General features: G+C 42.0%; 1 protein-coding gene across 5 annotated transcripts in view; it reads left to right on the top strand.

Annotated features, from left to right (window-relative positions):
• Positions 1-5250, top strand: part of GAREM1 (GRB2 associated regulator of MAPK1 subtype 1) — a 207361-nt gene extending 202111 nt beyond the window's left edge. For 4 of the 5 annotated variants that reach the window (NM_001242409.2, XM_024451234.2, XM_047437739.1 and 1 more), the window contains one exon: positions 4-5250. In NM_001242409.2, the coding sequence (NP_001229338.1) occupies positions 4-901 (898 nt within the window). In that variant the 3' untranslated portion in view covers positions 902-5250. The remainder of the gene's footprint in view (positions 1-3) is intronic. The other variant, NM_022751.3, reaches the window with a different exon arrangement.

Below are 15884 nucleotides of genomic sequence, written 5' to 3'. Positions count from 1 at the left end.
AAGCAGCGTCACTAAAACTGACACAAATCCTTCTGAAAGCACTCCTGTTTCCTGCTATCCATGTAACCGAGTGAAAACTGATTCTGTGGACCTGAAATCCCCGTTTGGAAGTCCTTCTGCTGAAGCTGTGTCCTCTCGGCTCTCATGGCCTAACCATTATTCAGGAGCATCAGAAAGCCAGACCAGGAGTGACTTCCTGCTGGATCCAAGCAGGAGTTATAGTTACCCTAGACAAAAGACGCCAGGCACACCAAAGAGAAACTGCCCAGCACCTTTTGATTTTGATGGCTGTGAGCTCCTGGCCAGCCCCACTAGCCCAGTCACTGCAGAATTCAGTAGCAGCGTCTCTGGTTGTCCCAAGTCAGCCAGCTACTCTCTGGAGAGCACAGATGTGAAATCTCTTGCAGCTGGTGTGACAAAGCAGAGTACGTCATGCCCTGCCTTACCCCCCAGGGCTCCAAAACTAGTGGAAGAGAAGGTCGCCTCCGAAACATCTCCTTTGCCTCTGAAAATTGATGGTGCTGAGGAAGACCCCAAGTCTGGGTCACCAGATCTCTCGGAGGACCAGTATTTTGTTAAAAAGGGCATGCAGGACATCTTCTCTGCCTCCTACCCTTTCTCATCTCCGCTCCATCTCCAGCTGGCCCCCAGATCCTGTGGCGACGGTTCCCCATGGCAGCCACCTGCTGACCTATCAGGACTCTCTATAGAGGAAGTGTCCAAGTCACTACGGTTCATTGGTTTGTCCGAAGATGTCATATCATTCTTTGTTACTGAAAAGATTGATGGGAACCTGCTTGTTCAGCTAACGGAAGAAATCCTCTCAGAGGATTTCAAATTGAGCAAATTGCAGGTGAAGAAGATAATGCAATTCATTAATGGCTGGAGGCCCAAAATATAGCCAAATAACCCCCGGCCAGCATGGAACAAAACTGATCAATGCGTGTGCTAGAAGGGGTGGGCTGGGACACAATTTCATGTTTTTGCACTAAAAACCTTCTCTGTAAATAGGGATAAGAGAAACTCTTACTATGCAGATTACGTTTTTGAATGGTGAACAGGCTATTTTGTACATCAATAAAAATGCTGTACAGAACACTTGGAGGTGTGCCTTGTACGTCACTCAACAAACACTCAGCAGCTGCTAAAAGAAAAAAAGGCATGTGCAGAGAAATCATTCTTACCCAAGTAGGTTTATGTGAGAAGGTATGATATTTATTACAAAATAGCCAAAGCTGGAAGACATAAAAATCTTTAAAAAAAAAAAAAAAACACTTTTGAACAAGTCCCTTCTTTCAGGAGGGTTGACTTTAGACAATTAACTGTGTTCTGTGCTCTGTCATTCAGATTGCTTCTTGCTAATTGTTTTACTCTTGTGCCTGAAAATGTTAGTGATACGAATTGACACTTTAATGTTGTATGCTTGGTGGGGATCTTTTTATCACAAGGCATTTTCCAAGAGTCATATGTTGATAAAGGGATATATGTTGTCCTTAGAAATCACACAAATCATGACCACAATAATTTATCTGTAACTGCTGCTAATTTTATTGAGCAGAGAAAAAAGAATATACATATATAAACATGTATAGGTGCATACACAATACACCCGGATATGTTTTACACATAATTTTGATTCTGATATTTTAGATAACATCTGTTCACTTTTAAACAATCTGTTGAGGTTTTGGGACTGTTATCTACATTGATTCTCTTAGGAATAGTGGACAGAATGACTCCAAAGATTCTCAGAACCCTGTCTCTTGAAGCTCAATCTTATTTGGGTTCATCACTGAAAACTTAGAACAAATCAGTAAAGAATCCTGTATTGAAGAATTAAGTTTGAGTTTAAGCCCACTCACCGCAGGGCTGGTTTTTGCATGTAATACTCCCATGATGTCTGGGGAAATGACAGTTTCTGTTGAATTATAATTCTCCGGTTTAAGGGTCTCCTTCCCCTGGTGTCTGATGGTGAGAGGTCTGAAGAGCATTTGTCAGAGTACATTAGGCATTCTCAACCTACTTCATGCTTTACGAGAGCTGAGAAATCAGACGCACCGGCCTTTATTATTATATATGCTACATCTGTTGAGTATTTTTAAAATACCAATAAGAGGACTTGTTTATTTCATAAACCACTTCTTCCCTCTCTTTCAAAGAAAATACATTATTACCATACTTTTACATTAGTCTGAGAATTTTTGCTAAATATGATTAAGTATTCCAAAATATAATGGCGTCATTATTCTTGACTTTTTTAGAGAATATACATCTTAAGACTGTATTAGTTCTCAGAGCAAGGCATCATCTACTCCCCTGCACCTGAGAGTCTGGCCCCAGATTCCAGATGTGCGGACAGCCCATGACCGAGGTGCACACAGTGCCCTCTTGAATAGGAAGGTCAGCCAGTGAGGCGGCAGCATAACTTGCAGGATGGACTTATATCTTACCATCTCTTCCTGCTACCAAAATAAAAAAATAAATTGAAAGACAAGACCCACCAGTCTAGTTTTGTAGACCTGTGAAATGTGTCTTTATTTCTTGGCATTAGAAGAAAGATATTTTTAATCCATATCGTGGTTTTAGAGTTGAAGTGAATTGATACCCAATTTTCCATCTTAGATCTCCTTTATCAAAAAAAAAAGCATTTTTTTTCTCCTAACGTGTCTCCCAAAATGTAAATACTATAGGCAAAAAGAGTACCCTGTAAAATTCTCACACTGGAGCACCTCTTCAAAAGTCACAGATAACTCAATGAGGAAGTGCTGGTACTGCACTCACAGGACATGAGACCTATGAAGCTTTCGTGTTTTGAAAGCATCCTTCTGTGTGAGGGGGACTGCCTCCCTTAGTAAAGTAAACCTCTCAGAACTTCTTTTTAAAATAAAAACAGACAAGATGCAGTTACTAAGCTGCAAGTTTTCATTGGCAAACCTAGCTGAATCCGTTTTAAAATACTTAGCACTCGGACACAATTCTCAAACTCAGGAAGAAGGAACAGGGTTGGTTTGGGTTTACTATAAAGGTTGCCTCACATAAACAACTGACTCCTTTTAGCGTTTTTTTTCTTTTTGTAAAAACTTTACACAAAATAGGGTTTTAAATTCTTTTTGCTTGTTTTGGACTTGGTGTATTTTTGTCAAGTTTATATTGATTGGCAACGCAGAGACTCCTTGAGGGCAGGGACTGTGGCCTTTGATTCACTTATGCTACAGTCTAGTATCACTACAGTGCTGAGTAAAAGACACAGCCCCTGCCCTCTTGGAGATCATATTGTTTATATTTGAAATCTCAGTTGCTAAGAGTATGTATGTGTGAGTAAGAAAGACGTGAAGTCCTATGGGCAGCTGGGTATATGGAGAATTACGTGTGTCCTGTCTTTAAAACGTCAGCCTCTATTAAGGGGTACAGAACACCCCAAGATCACTAAAACTTGGAATGTGTTGGAGGCAGAAAGTATCTCTCTCATTGCCTAGTGTTGTTGTTTTTTTGTTTTTTGTTTTTTGTTTTTTTTACTGACCTGGAATTCTTTTAATTGTAATAAATATCTTCTGTCACAAATAAATGCCACAAATAAATGAAATTGCCATTCCTAAGCTGAGCACCTGTCTGTGAAGGACCTTGGTGTCCTGACTGGACAGAGCATTCATAGCTCCAAGAGAATCATGACAAGATATGCAAAGCAGGGATAATAAGGAGAAAGCCCTTCCCTTTCGAGAAGCCCTTCCCTTTCACAGCCCTTCCCTGCGATTCTGCAGTGAAAAGTGATGCCCAGAGATCCACACACAGAACCCTTCTAACCAGCCAGGTCAAGACTTATCATCTTATCTCCTCTGGCAGGTCCCCTGTAATCAAAAGAGAGGAAGTGTCTATCTAAACAAGACCCTTTTGGGTCCTTAGATTCATGGCAAAAATCATCATGGCCCCCATCAGAAAAGAAAATCAGCAATAAACCAAGCCAAGCAACTAAAATGTATAATGTGGACCTGACTCATGTTGGGAGGCAGAATTCAGACACTCACAGATCAATCTTGCAAGTTTTCTCTTCTTTAAGTTGAGCTGCTCAACTTTATGAACTGTGAAATTTACTTACATTCTTTCAACCCACATATATCATTGCAGTTTATGAAGTTGCAGTGAACTGCCCATTCAGCTAAATTGCAGTGTTTATTCTTGTCTCATGTCGAAATACAACAATCTTATGGGAAATATTATGACAGTCCGTTCCAACTGTTCTCAGACACATGCATAAACAGTCTCTGCTCACATTCCACAGCCACCTGCATGTTATCCATACAGCTCCCTGAGAAGTCCAGGGATGGGAGGTGGGGTGTGGAAGGATGGAGGGTCCTTCATTTTCTAAACACTTTGTATAAGTCACTACTCATCGTGCCTAGCAAGTATAAGATTAACATTTTGAATAACAAACTGGAAAACAAATAATCCTTCAAAGAACCTAGCGAACTGTTCAAAGGAAATTTTAATTTCAGTCTACCAGAAAAGTTAAATCTGTTGTTGGACGTAGGGGGCTTTCAGAAACATGCCTCTTATATCAATTTCCACTATCTTTCAAGTTACCTAAAGGCACCAGGCTGCTTGAGCAAGAAGAATAAAAGGCCTAGAGTGCAAATTATGTGAAGTAGAGTTTTTAGATTGTGGGATTGTAATAATACGGGATTCTCATGGTTACATCATGTTAAATCACACTGTTCAGTCTTTAAAACTTGGTGTTTTAAAATTTGTCTCATTGTGATAGCCAGAAACAAGGAATAAACGTGATTTCAGTTTAAACTATATACAAATATCTTCTGTAATTTTGCTGCTCTAATTTTTAGGCTATAAATTTTGTAATAGAGCTTATCAGATCGCAAATTTCCTTTGTTTACAATCTCATGTAGTAGGGCTCAGATAATTTCTTAGCTATAAACCTTTTCTCCCACTCTCATATTGTTTCATTTAAAATATTTAAGCTAAGCCTAAAAATTGAAATCAGTTAAGAATTTGGAGAGTTTATCTTAAATGGAAATGGTGTATTCTTTTCAAAGAATTTTGTAACCATCTTTACAGTTTCTTTGCTTGGAAAACTTGGGTTGTTAACTACCAGTTAACAATGGCATTACTTTCCAAAACGTTATCTAATGGGCCCAATGTGTACCTCAAGATAAACACAGTATGTTATGTCTAAAAATTTCCTTGTCTGTTGATTTAAATGGTTCTGAAATGTCTGTAATAAAGAAATTTTCAAAGTTGCTTTTCTTGCAGTTGTTCCTCAGTAGTCAGACCTAGTGCATAGTTTTCTAAGGACTTGTTTCCCATCCTCACTTAGGAGTAGGGAATTTGGAGGGAGTCCCGATACTGCAAGCCCATTCTGTATTAATAAGAGATGGAAGACTGTGGCTATTGTGCATAGTCAGAAGATGCGGGTAACTAGGTAACTTGATGGCATACAGAGAATCCAGGGCCTGTGTGGTCAGGAGATAGTGCAGAAGATGAAATAGATAAACTGGTGAGGGAAAAAAAAAAAAAAAAAAAACCCTGGTCCAAAGATAGTTGTCTCAACTGATCGTTCACCATCAGTTACAGATCAGACTCCTTGTTCTACTCTTTCCCACTCTCACTACTGCACTTGACTCTTAAAAAATAAAGTATACATTTGAATGAGGAAAAGAAAGATAATATAAATTTATATCTCTTTGGCTTACATACAGTTTAACTTATGTAACTAGCAAATAGCAGAGATGGCTGAGGCTATTAAAGAAAAATTGAGTGTTCAATATGCTGCAGCATCCACTGGGAAGTGTTACACAGAAGCTGGAGAATTGCAAGTGGAGTTTGGTTAAGAGAACTTTAACTGTACTCAAAATAGCATAAAATAGTCTCTCAATATTTTATGCCCCAAATCTTCCTGTCTTCTTTTACTAGACTAAAAGCATCCCCAAATCATTCATTCCATCTTACACTTAAGCCTTCAACCCTTCTTTCCTCTTTCACAGGCATAAACCTGTGACTAAACCCATACGTGTCCACTTTACTGGATTTCAGGAATGTGTGCTAGAAGAACCTATAGGCTTGACTTAGATTGACTGAAACTTCCCAAGATCTATCTCAGGATTTTTAGAGTATTTCATCAAGTAGTATACACTAGAACATTTGACTCCCAAAATTAGATATTGCAAAGTAAATTTGAGTTTAGAAATAAGTTGGGTTAGAATCAGATGTCCTTTGATTCCTTATATATCTGAAGTTAGAAAAAGCCAAATCATTGAAAACAATAAGTCCTGCTTCAATTCTTATTACACTGAAATGAATAAAAAGATGTGCTCAGCCCCTTCTTGCTTAGGTGATTCATGCACATCCTTCAGGATTTACCAAATGTCATCCCCAAGCTGATTAGATTTCACTCCTTTGCACTGATATAGCTCTCTGTGCATATCTCTGTCCCCTGGAAAGCTATAAGCTCTTTGATATCAGGGCTTATGTCTTCATTGTTGTATCTTCAGAAGTAGGTGCTGTTTGAGGTTCTGTTGAATGACAGTGTGAAAATCACATTCCTGATGGTGGCCAGTCTTTGTGCCATCAAAGTCAAGACTGCAACCACGTGACAATGTAATGAAGTAAGGTCAGATGAGTGATATCAATGAAACTTGTACTCATCATAAAATATCTGAGTGCCTAAAAATGGGTGAAATGTAAACTTGTCTAGAAATCCCAGGTTGAGTTTGTATCACTTCCCAATGAATAAATTTTTCTTAGTTTATTTATTCAATGACTTCCATTTTTAATGGCTAAAAAAAATGAAAGGATCTGTTCCCATAGATTGACTCAAATACTAGCTCTAAAAGACACAGGCAATTGAAAAGTAAGAGATATGGTTGAATGACCTCAGCTAAGAGTGGTCTCAGGGTCAGAGGCAGGGATGGGTAAAGATAAGAAACAGAGATCTGTGTGCTCAGAAACACAAGGCCAGGAGACATGGTGCTCAGCATGGAAAATACCATCTGTAGGCAGACCATAGAAGTTTAGAGACAGAAGGGACCTTGGAAAGGATCTGGTCCCTCCTCCTTATAGGAATGAAACCCATGGAGGGTGAGTGATGGGCCCCAGACCTCATATGGGTCATGAAAGAACCAAGGCTAGAAATAAAATCTCCCAGTTCCCTGTTTTGTATTCCTCCCATTACAACACTGTCTCCCGGCTTCCTCCGCTTTTAACTTTCAAAAGTAACTTGTTTTTTTAGTGCATGGAATGTCCTACGTTGATCCTCCAACTTCTTTGTCTAAGACTAAAGAACAGGGCAGTCCTCAGTTGATACTCCTCAGTCAGTGTTAGGTGGAAATCAAGAGAAACCTACATATAAAATGGAAGCTCTGGGTACATCTCCTACTCTTTGATAACACGGATCACTCAGTGGAGACGCTAAATGAGACGAATGGGACAGAAAATGTAAAAGATTCACAGATAGCACACACACATTTCATCCTGCTGTATATATCCAGGCTAGCTGCTAGGAAGAGCTTCCAGGCTGTGGCACCTAGGAAGAGAAGCAGCTCTGTAGTACTAAATATGGCCACAGGGTGTGGAGCTTTTCCACCCAGCCAATGACTGCGCAAGGATCACCCCGATCAACTCTTAATGGAGTACAGTGGAGAGTCAGGGATTAGGAAGGAGTAAAATTTCAGTCCAACCATATTGGAGGTCTCTCTTTCCATCAGTCACTTTTCAACTTTCCTCAGTTAGCCAAAGGCATTGGAATCCTAGTTATAGAAATGAATAAACAGAAGTAGCTCAAGAAAGATAAAGGGCCAGGAGTGGTGGCTCATGCCTATGGTCCCAGCACTTTGGAAGGCTGAGGTGGGTGGATCATTTGAGGCCACTTGAGGAGTTTGAGACCAGCCTGGCCAACATAGCAAAACCCCATCTCTACTAAAAATACAAAAATTAGTCAGACATGGTGATGGGCACCTATAATCCCAGCTACTCGGGAGGCTGAGGCACAAGAGAGAAAGATAAGGAATTTGAAGATGGGGCACTATGCATTTTTTCAACAGGTGTCCACTGGGGAAGAGAGTAGAAAACTGATCTGTCATATGCCTTGCCACTTCTTGGTTCTGAGTCTGGGATTTTTCTTTCTTTCTTTCTTTCCTTCCTTCCTTCCTTTCTTTCCTTTCTTGTCTCACTCTGTCACCCAAGTTGGAGTGCAGTGGTGCAATGATGGCTCACTACAGCCTCAACCTCCTGGGCTCAAGTGATCCTCCCACCTCAGCCTCCTGAGTAGCTGGGACTACAGGTGTGCGCCACCATACCCGGCTAATTTTTTAATTTTTTGTAGAGATGGGGTTTCACCATGTAGGCCAGGCTGGTCTCGAACTCCTGGGCTCAAGCAGTCAGCCCGTCTCAGCCTCCCAAAGTGCTGGGATTACAGTTGTAAGTCAGCATGCCAGGCCTGTCTCCGGAATTTTAAGAGTGAATAGCTTGAGTCAGAAGCTCTTGAGTAAAAAGAAGTTGTACTTAAAAAAAAAAAATCCATTGGTGTGTTTTGAACAACAAAACCCTCAACCTGAAACTAGCTCTATCAACTAACATTATACTAAAACTTACTTTCAAGTTTGGATTGAGAAACCATATCTCAATCCTCCTCCTTGGCCTTCAGAGTCAAACCATGAACCCACCCAATTGGCCATGGAAGAAAGGACAAAGAAAAGATACATCCTAACTAAGAAAAAGAGAATCATCGATCTATAGTTTTTGCATAAATGTTTCTGCCTCATTCTATGTACCCTTTACTACTCTCAGGAACACAGTTATTGACAAGCTAAAGCAAGTCTGTTTTTCAATTCGCCTTTTAAGAAGAGGACTGATTTTTATAAATCCAGTAAACTACCAACAATTTCGTTTTTCATAGTTAAATTGCCATCTTGAAGCAGTGTAATTGCCTGTTAAAAGTTTTCATGGCTGGGTGTGGTAGCTCATGTCTCCCAAGTCCCAAAGGGATTACAGGCATGAGCCACCACGCCCAGCCATGAAATGTACTTTGAGAAGCCAAAGCAGGCGGATCACTTGAGCCCAGGAGCTTGAGACCAGCCTGGGCAACATGAGGAAACTCCATCTCTACCCCGAAAAATACAAAAACTAGCTGGGTGTGGTGATGTGCCTTGTAGTTGCAGCTACTCAGGAGGCTGAGGCGGGAGGATCACTTGAGCCCAAGAGATCAAGGCTGCAGTGAACCTAGATTGCACCACCGCACTCTAGCCTGGGTGATAGAGTGAGACGCTGTCTCAAAAAAAAAAAAAATTTTCATATAATCATGTTTTTATCACACATCAGTGATTCATGAGTAAGAGTCGTGGGGCAATGTGATTGTTCTGAGAGTAGACCACAGTTTTGTTTTGTTTTGTTTTTTTTCAGACAGAATCTCACTCTGTCACCAGGCTGGAGTGCAGTGGCATGATCTCGGCTCACTGCAACCTCTGCCTCCCAGGTTCAAGCAATTCTCCTGCCTCAGCCTCCCGAGTAGCTGGGACTACAGGCGCGCGCCACCACGCCCAGCTAATTTTTGTTTTAGTAGAGACAGGATTTCACTGTGTTAGCCAGGGTGGTCTCGATCTCTTTACCTTGTGATCCACCCACCCCAGCCTCCCAAAATACTGGGAGGTCTGCTGTACAGTATTAGAAAATACTGTAAAATGGTCTGCTCCACTGGCTTTATGTTGTTTTTTTAAAATCTTACCCCATCCTGCACGCTATGCCCTTGGTTTTGGTTTCTTTTCTATGTGGAGGCTCTATAGAATCATGCCAGTACTGCATCTGTATCCTATTTGCCCCCATCTAACGCTGGAAAAGTTTAGCCATGTAAATTATCATTTTCCCATTGAAGCAAATGCAATCTTGAGAGGACATGTGACTGACTTCCCATCCTTGAGGCAAATCACTCACAAACCCACTTAGTCTCAAAATCTGAGTCCTGGACAGGACTTCAACCTCCTCAGGCTGTGATGATCTCTTCCTGTATTTAGAGATCTCTATGGAAGTTTCTGTTCCTACACTGAACAGTTCTCAGTTCTCTCTTCTCTGCCTCATTTTGCAACTTAAATCGTTCACCTACTTTTATGGTATGTGAGTAATATTTCCACTTCTTTAGATGTTCACCTATTTCTCCATGGAGATAAATTGTGAATCAGGTCGTTTTCTATCCTATTGTTTCTCAGGCCTAGAGAATGTTACTTTTCTTTCTAGTTTTCCTGTTAGATGAAAATAACACTCGAGTTCTTGTCACTGTGCTTCAGTTCTGTGTGCACCAGTTATCTGGAGCAAATTTGGGAGAAATATTGTTTCCCTGCATTTAGTCATTCTGGATAATAGATGTGGACATTATTTGTTCTGGCAACAGGAAAAGGCAACCTGTAGAGACACCAGTATGATAGCAACCTAGAGTGGACTATGATCCATGAATCAGTTAATCGCTGAGAGTCTGTTCTTTGGAAGGCTAAGATAACTAACTTATCTTTCACAGATAACTCACTGTAAAAGAAGAGTTTGAAATATGGGATGGGAGAAGGAAGGACCTGCCCTCCTTATTCAGTTAACTATAGGTACCTCTCACTAGAATTCATGCTTGAGGGGGAAATGCTCTTATTTAACCCTTGCCAACTTCTTCGAGAGGAGTGTTGTTTTATTTTATTTAAATTTTTTGCCTTAGCATGTTGCGAATGTTGACCATTTTTGGAGCATCTGTCTTCTCTCTATTCGCTTTGTCCCCTCCTGACTGTCACCCAGTGTCAGGGCGTGACTTTGTTTTAGGAGGATTGAAAAGGAGAAGTCAGCAGTTGCTGCTGGAGGAGAATCTGATACACAGCAGGTGTATCCAGCACCCATTTCCAAACTGTGGATGATCCCATTACCAGCTTATCTCCTGACCTCGCTCAGGTGTTCTCCCAACTTATTGTTCACAGAAAGAAAGGATCCTCTCTACTACTCTGCCTCTGTTCTAGGTTTCTGCTCATACCCTGGGACTTCTTGTATTTTTACTCAGACTTAGCCCAAATTTCACATTTCCTTGAATTCCCTTTTTTCTCTTTTATTCTATCTCCAGCTAGCTCATTGTGGTGGTTTAAAACATTCTGTAATCTGATTAGATCTGCCGGGGTAAACAGCATTGGAGAAATTCTGTCGGTCTCCTAGGCAGATGGAGGAAGGAAGGGCAGCTGGTGTGTGGTTGTATGGGTTCACTCATTGAAGTAATTTGGGGGAAGTGCCTAACATCATTTCCAAACAGTAAAAATTTACTCTTCAGTAAATACCAGATCCACTGAATGCAGAAGACAGGTTAGAAGTTATTTTTTAATATCAACAGATTGTTTATCCGCCAGTTCCCCATGCCCTGGTGTGCTCCTAAGAGACTTCCCCAGAATGTTTCAGGGAAGGCGTGTTTCATTTGTGCCTATGTTGACTAACACAGTTCTTCTCTGATTCTCAGCCCTGGCCATAGCACCCAGGCCTGCCATGGCCGCAGGCTCACTTCCCATTAGTCATCACTGCCAGGAGCTCCTGGACACAAGCTTTGGTTAGACAGCTAGTCCTGTGAACAGGCACCACCTGAGAGGTGCATAGGGGCATTTCCTGTCTCCACTGTGACTTCTTCTCCCCAGTACCACTATATCATCCATAGGAAATCACATGCATTATTTCATTTAATTTACACAGCAATACTAAGAGGTAGCTACTACTGTTGTTCCTTTTTTTTTTTTTTCTTGAGATGGAGTTTTGCTCTTGTCACCCAGGCTGGAGTGCAATGGTGCAATCTCGGTTCACTGCAACCTCCACCTCCTGGATTCAAGCGATTCTCCTGACTCAGCCTCCTGACTAGCTGGGATTACAGGCATGCACCACCGTGCCTGGCTAATTTTGTATTTTTAATAGAGATGGGATTTCTCCATGTTGGTCAGGCTGGTCTCAAACTCCCGATCTCAGGTGATCTGCCACCCTCAGCCTCCCAAAGTGCTGAAATTACAGGCGTGAGCCACCGCACCCGGCCTGTTTTTCCCATTTCTATAGATAGGAAAACTGCATCTAAAAAGGATAACCCACCCAAGATCACATAGCAAGTAAATGGCCAATCCCAGATTGAAACCTGTCTTTCTGACCCAGGGTCCTTGCTCTTATGAGGGGATATATACAACATGCTCCGAGAGCTCACAGTTGCAGGGTGGGACACCTCACTGTGTCTTAGAGCTCAGAGAGGGCGTCCTGAAAGAAGTGGTGTCTAAGTAGGAATCTGAAGGGATAAGACGGAATTAGGAAGATAAAGGAGAGGCAGGAGAAGGTGGCTGGTATTCAAGGGAATAATACAATACCATCATCCCTTAGTTCCAGGACCACTGGGGATACCAACATCTGAGTCCCTGGTATAAAACAATGTAGTATATTTGTATATAGCCTATGCACATCCACCTATATACTTTAAATTATCTTTAGATTACTTATAATACCTAATACAATGTAAATGTTATGTAAATAGTTCTTATCATATATTTTTATTTATTTTTTTATTGAATTGTTATTTCGTGGAGTTTTTTCAGATGTTTTCCATCAGTGGTTGATTGAATTTGTGGATGTGCAACCCACAGACATGGGGGACCAACTGTATTTGCAGAGTCCTAAAGATCCAAGAGAGCACACGTTGCTTACAAAAATCGTCCAGGAGGACTGGAAGGTAGCAAATAAAGAACACTGGTGAGAAATGAAGTGGCAGGAAGGAGCCTTTCCACAAAGATCAACCGCAAGGCAGATGTGGGAGTCTGTTCTTTCATCCCAAAAGCATCAGAGAAACTTTGTCATTGAAAGTGGGATGATGTGACATGAACAGATAGGACTGCTGTGAATGCAAGGTGAAAAACAGACTGAAAGAAGGCAGACCTGTGTGCTGAGAGGTCAATCAGGAAGCCATAGGAATTCATGCAAGGGATGAGAGGAGCTGGGTGGAGCACCGCCTGTGGGGATGTAGAGAAATGGAACAAGTAGAGCAGTGTGTTTGAGGTGAAACTGAAAGGGTTTGGCAACTCATCAAACATGGCAGCTAGTGTTTATCTTTGAGAGCCGGTGCCTAAACCTCCCATAGCCCAAATGCCTGCGAGTCTCTCAAACTTTTTTCACTCCCCCTCCTAATACAATATGGGAAAGGAAAGTAAAAGATTAATATTCTAATAGTATTTTAAGGGCTTCTAGGTATAAAAAGAAACAATAGAATATGAATTTTATGACAAACCATAGCACTTGCTGTGTCCCAACAAAATTCATATGTTGAAAACTAATCACTGATGTGATGTTATTAGCAGGTAGGGCCTTTGGAAGATGATTTGGTCGTGAGGGCAAAGCCCTAATGAACGTAATCAGTGTCCTTAGAAGAGACCCCAGAGAGCAAGCTAGCCCCTTCTACCATGTGAGAACAAAGCAAGAGGTGCCATCTGTGAAGAAATACACCTTCACTAGACACCAAATCTGCTAGTGCCTTGATCTTGAACTTCCCAATCTCTAGAACTTAGAAATAAACTCGGGTATGATATTTTGTTATAGCAGCTCAGATAGACCGAGAGTGCTCAAGCCAGAATCCCTGCCAGATCCTCTTTGCACAAAAGGATGAAACAGAGGCTCTGTCACACAGACTCCATCCGCAGACAAGCTCGGTAAGGAGCTACCAAGAGTGTGGCCCTGAACCAGAGTATCCCTCTCTCCACCCGGCCACACTGGGTTCTGCAGCACCCAAATACTGCAAGCAGGGATTTCCTCAAAGTCAGAAGCTCTGGCAGCTGCCTGCCAGGAGCTTTAGAGGTTGCACTCAGTGGGTAGCAGTGGCTGGGTAGCAGAGGTTGTGCTCAGAGCACCTTCCGTGGCAGCAGCACAACAGGTGTCACAGCTAACAGCAATGAGGGAGGAGCAGGAGTGAGGATGGCGTCCAGGCTGTCCACTTGGGCAACTGGATAGAAAAGAAACAGAGAAGCAGCATGAAGGAGATGCTTCCTCAGCTTTGGGTGTGTTGCATTTCAGGCCATCCACCAATTAGGATCGTTTTTGGCCACACAGAACTAAAACCCAGCTACTATGGCTTTGTCAAGTAGGGGTGTGTTCTTTTGAATAACAAGAAGCTCCAAAAAGGCAAGTTACGACTTTTGCAGCTGCTCAAGTGGGTCATCCAGGAACCAGGACCCTTCAGCTCTCCTGCTGCACTACCTTCACCAGTGGCTTTAATCCTCACTATCATCATCATATGGACCCAGTACATACAAGCATTTTTACTGACTTCCAAGAGAAAGAATGGTTGGAAGTGTCAAGAGGCAAAAACAATTCAGTGGCACAATCTCGGCTCACTGCAACCTCTGCCTCCTGGGTTCAAGTGATTCTCCTGCCTCAGCCTCCAGAGTAGCTGGGATTACAGGTATGCACCACCATGCCTGACTAATTTTTGTATTTTTAGTAGAGATGGAGTTTCGCCATGTCGGCCAGGCTGGTCTCAAAATCCTGAGCTCAAGTGATTCCACCCCACTTGGCCTTCCAAAGTGCTGGGATTACAGGTGAATCTGTCCCTTTTTAATAAGGAAATATATTCCTCAGAAACGCCACCCATAGATATCCAATTGGGCAAAACTATGTCACATGACCACCCAGTTGCACAAGTTGCATTGCTGTGTTATTTCTAACCCTGAACTAATAGAGACTCTCTATGAGCAAGGAAGAAGAGGAGATCAGATATTGGACAGGCAACCAGCAGTGTCTGCCATGGGTTTGCAGTGAATATTCATTGCCTCCGTGTTGACTGTAGGAATGTAGGCCATCTTGGTGGGGATTTTTTTTTATTTATTTTTTATTTTTTATTTCAGTAGGTTTTTTGGGGATCAGGTTGTGTTTGGTTACATGAATAAGTTCATTAGTGGTGATTTCTGAGATTTTAGTGCACCCAGCACTTGAACAGTATACGCTGTACCCAATGTGTAGTCTTTATCCCTCCCTGCCCCCGACCCTTTCTCCTGAGTCCCCAAAGTCCAATGTATCATTCTTATGCCTTTGCATCCTTATAGCTCAGCTCCCACGTATGAGCGAGAGCATATGATGTTTGGTTTTGCATTTCTCAGTTACTTCATTTAGAATAATAGTATCCAGGGCCGGGCACAGTGGCTCACACATATAAACGCAGCAATTTGGGAGGCTGCGGTGGGTGGATCACCTGAGGTCAGGAGTTCAAGACCAGTCTGGCACCACAGTGAAACCCCGTGACTACTAAAAATACAAAAATTAGCCAGGCCTGGTGGCATATGCCTGTAGTCCACTTCTGCATCCTCCTCATTTTCTCTTGCCACTGCCATATAAGAAGTGCCTTTCACCTCCTGCCATGATTCTGAGGCCTCCCCAGCCATGTAGAGCTGTAAGTCCAGTTAAACCTCTTTTTCTTCCCAGTCTCAGGTATGTCTTTATCAACAGCATGAAAATGGACTAATACAGTAAATTGGTACCAGTAGAGTGGGGCATTGCTGAAAAGATACCCGAAAATGTGGAAGCAACTTTGGAACTGGGTAACAGGCAGAGGTTGGAACAGTTTGGAGGGCTCAGGAGAAGACAGGAACATGTGGGAAAGTTTGGAACTTCCTAGAAACTTGTTGAATGGCTTTGACCAAAAGCCTGAGAGCGATATGGACAATAAGGTCCAGGCTGAGGTGGTCTCAGATGGAGATGAGGAACTTGTTGGGAACTGGAACAAAGCTGACTTTTTTTATGTCTTAGCAAAGAGACTGGCGGCCTTTTACCCCTGCCCTAGAGATCTGTGGAACTTTGAACTTGAGAGAAATGATTTTGGGTATCTGGCAGAAGAAATTTCAAAGCAGCAAAGCATTCAAGAG

This window comes from Homo sapiens, chromosome 18 (genome assembly GCF_000001405.40).
Source record: "Homo sapiens chromosome 18, GRCh38.p14 Primary Assembly".
Taxonomy (NCBI): Eukaryota; Metazoa; Chordata; class Mammalia; order Primates; family Hominidae; genus Homo; species Homo sapiens.
This window is presented reverse-complemented; position numbering and strand designations above follow the sequence as displayed.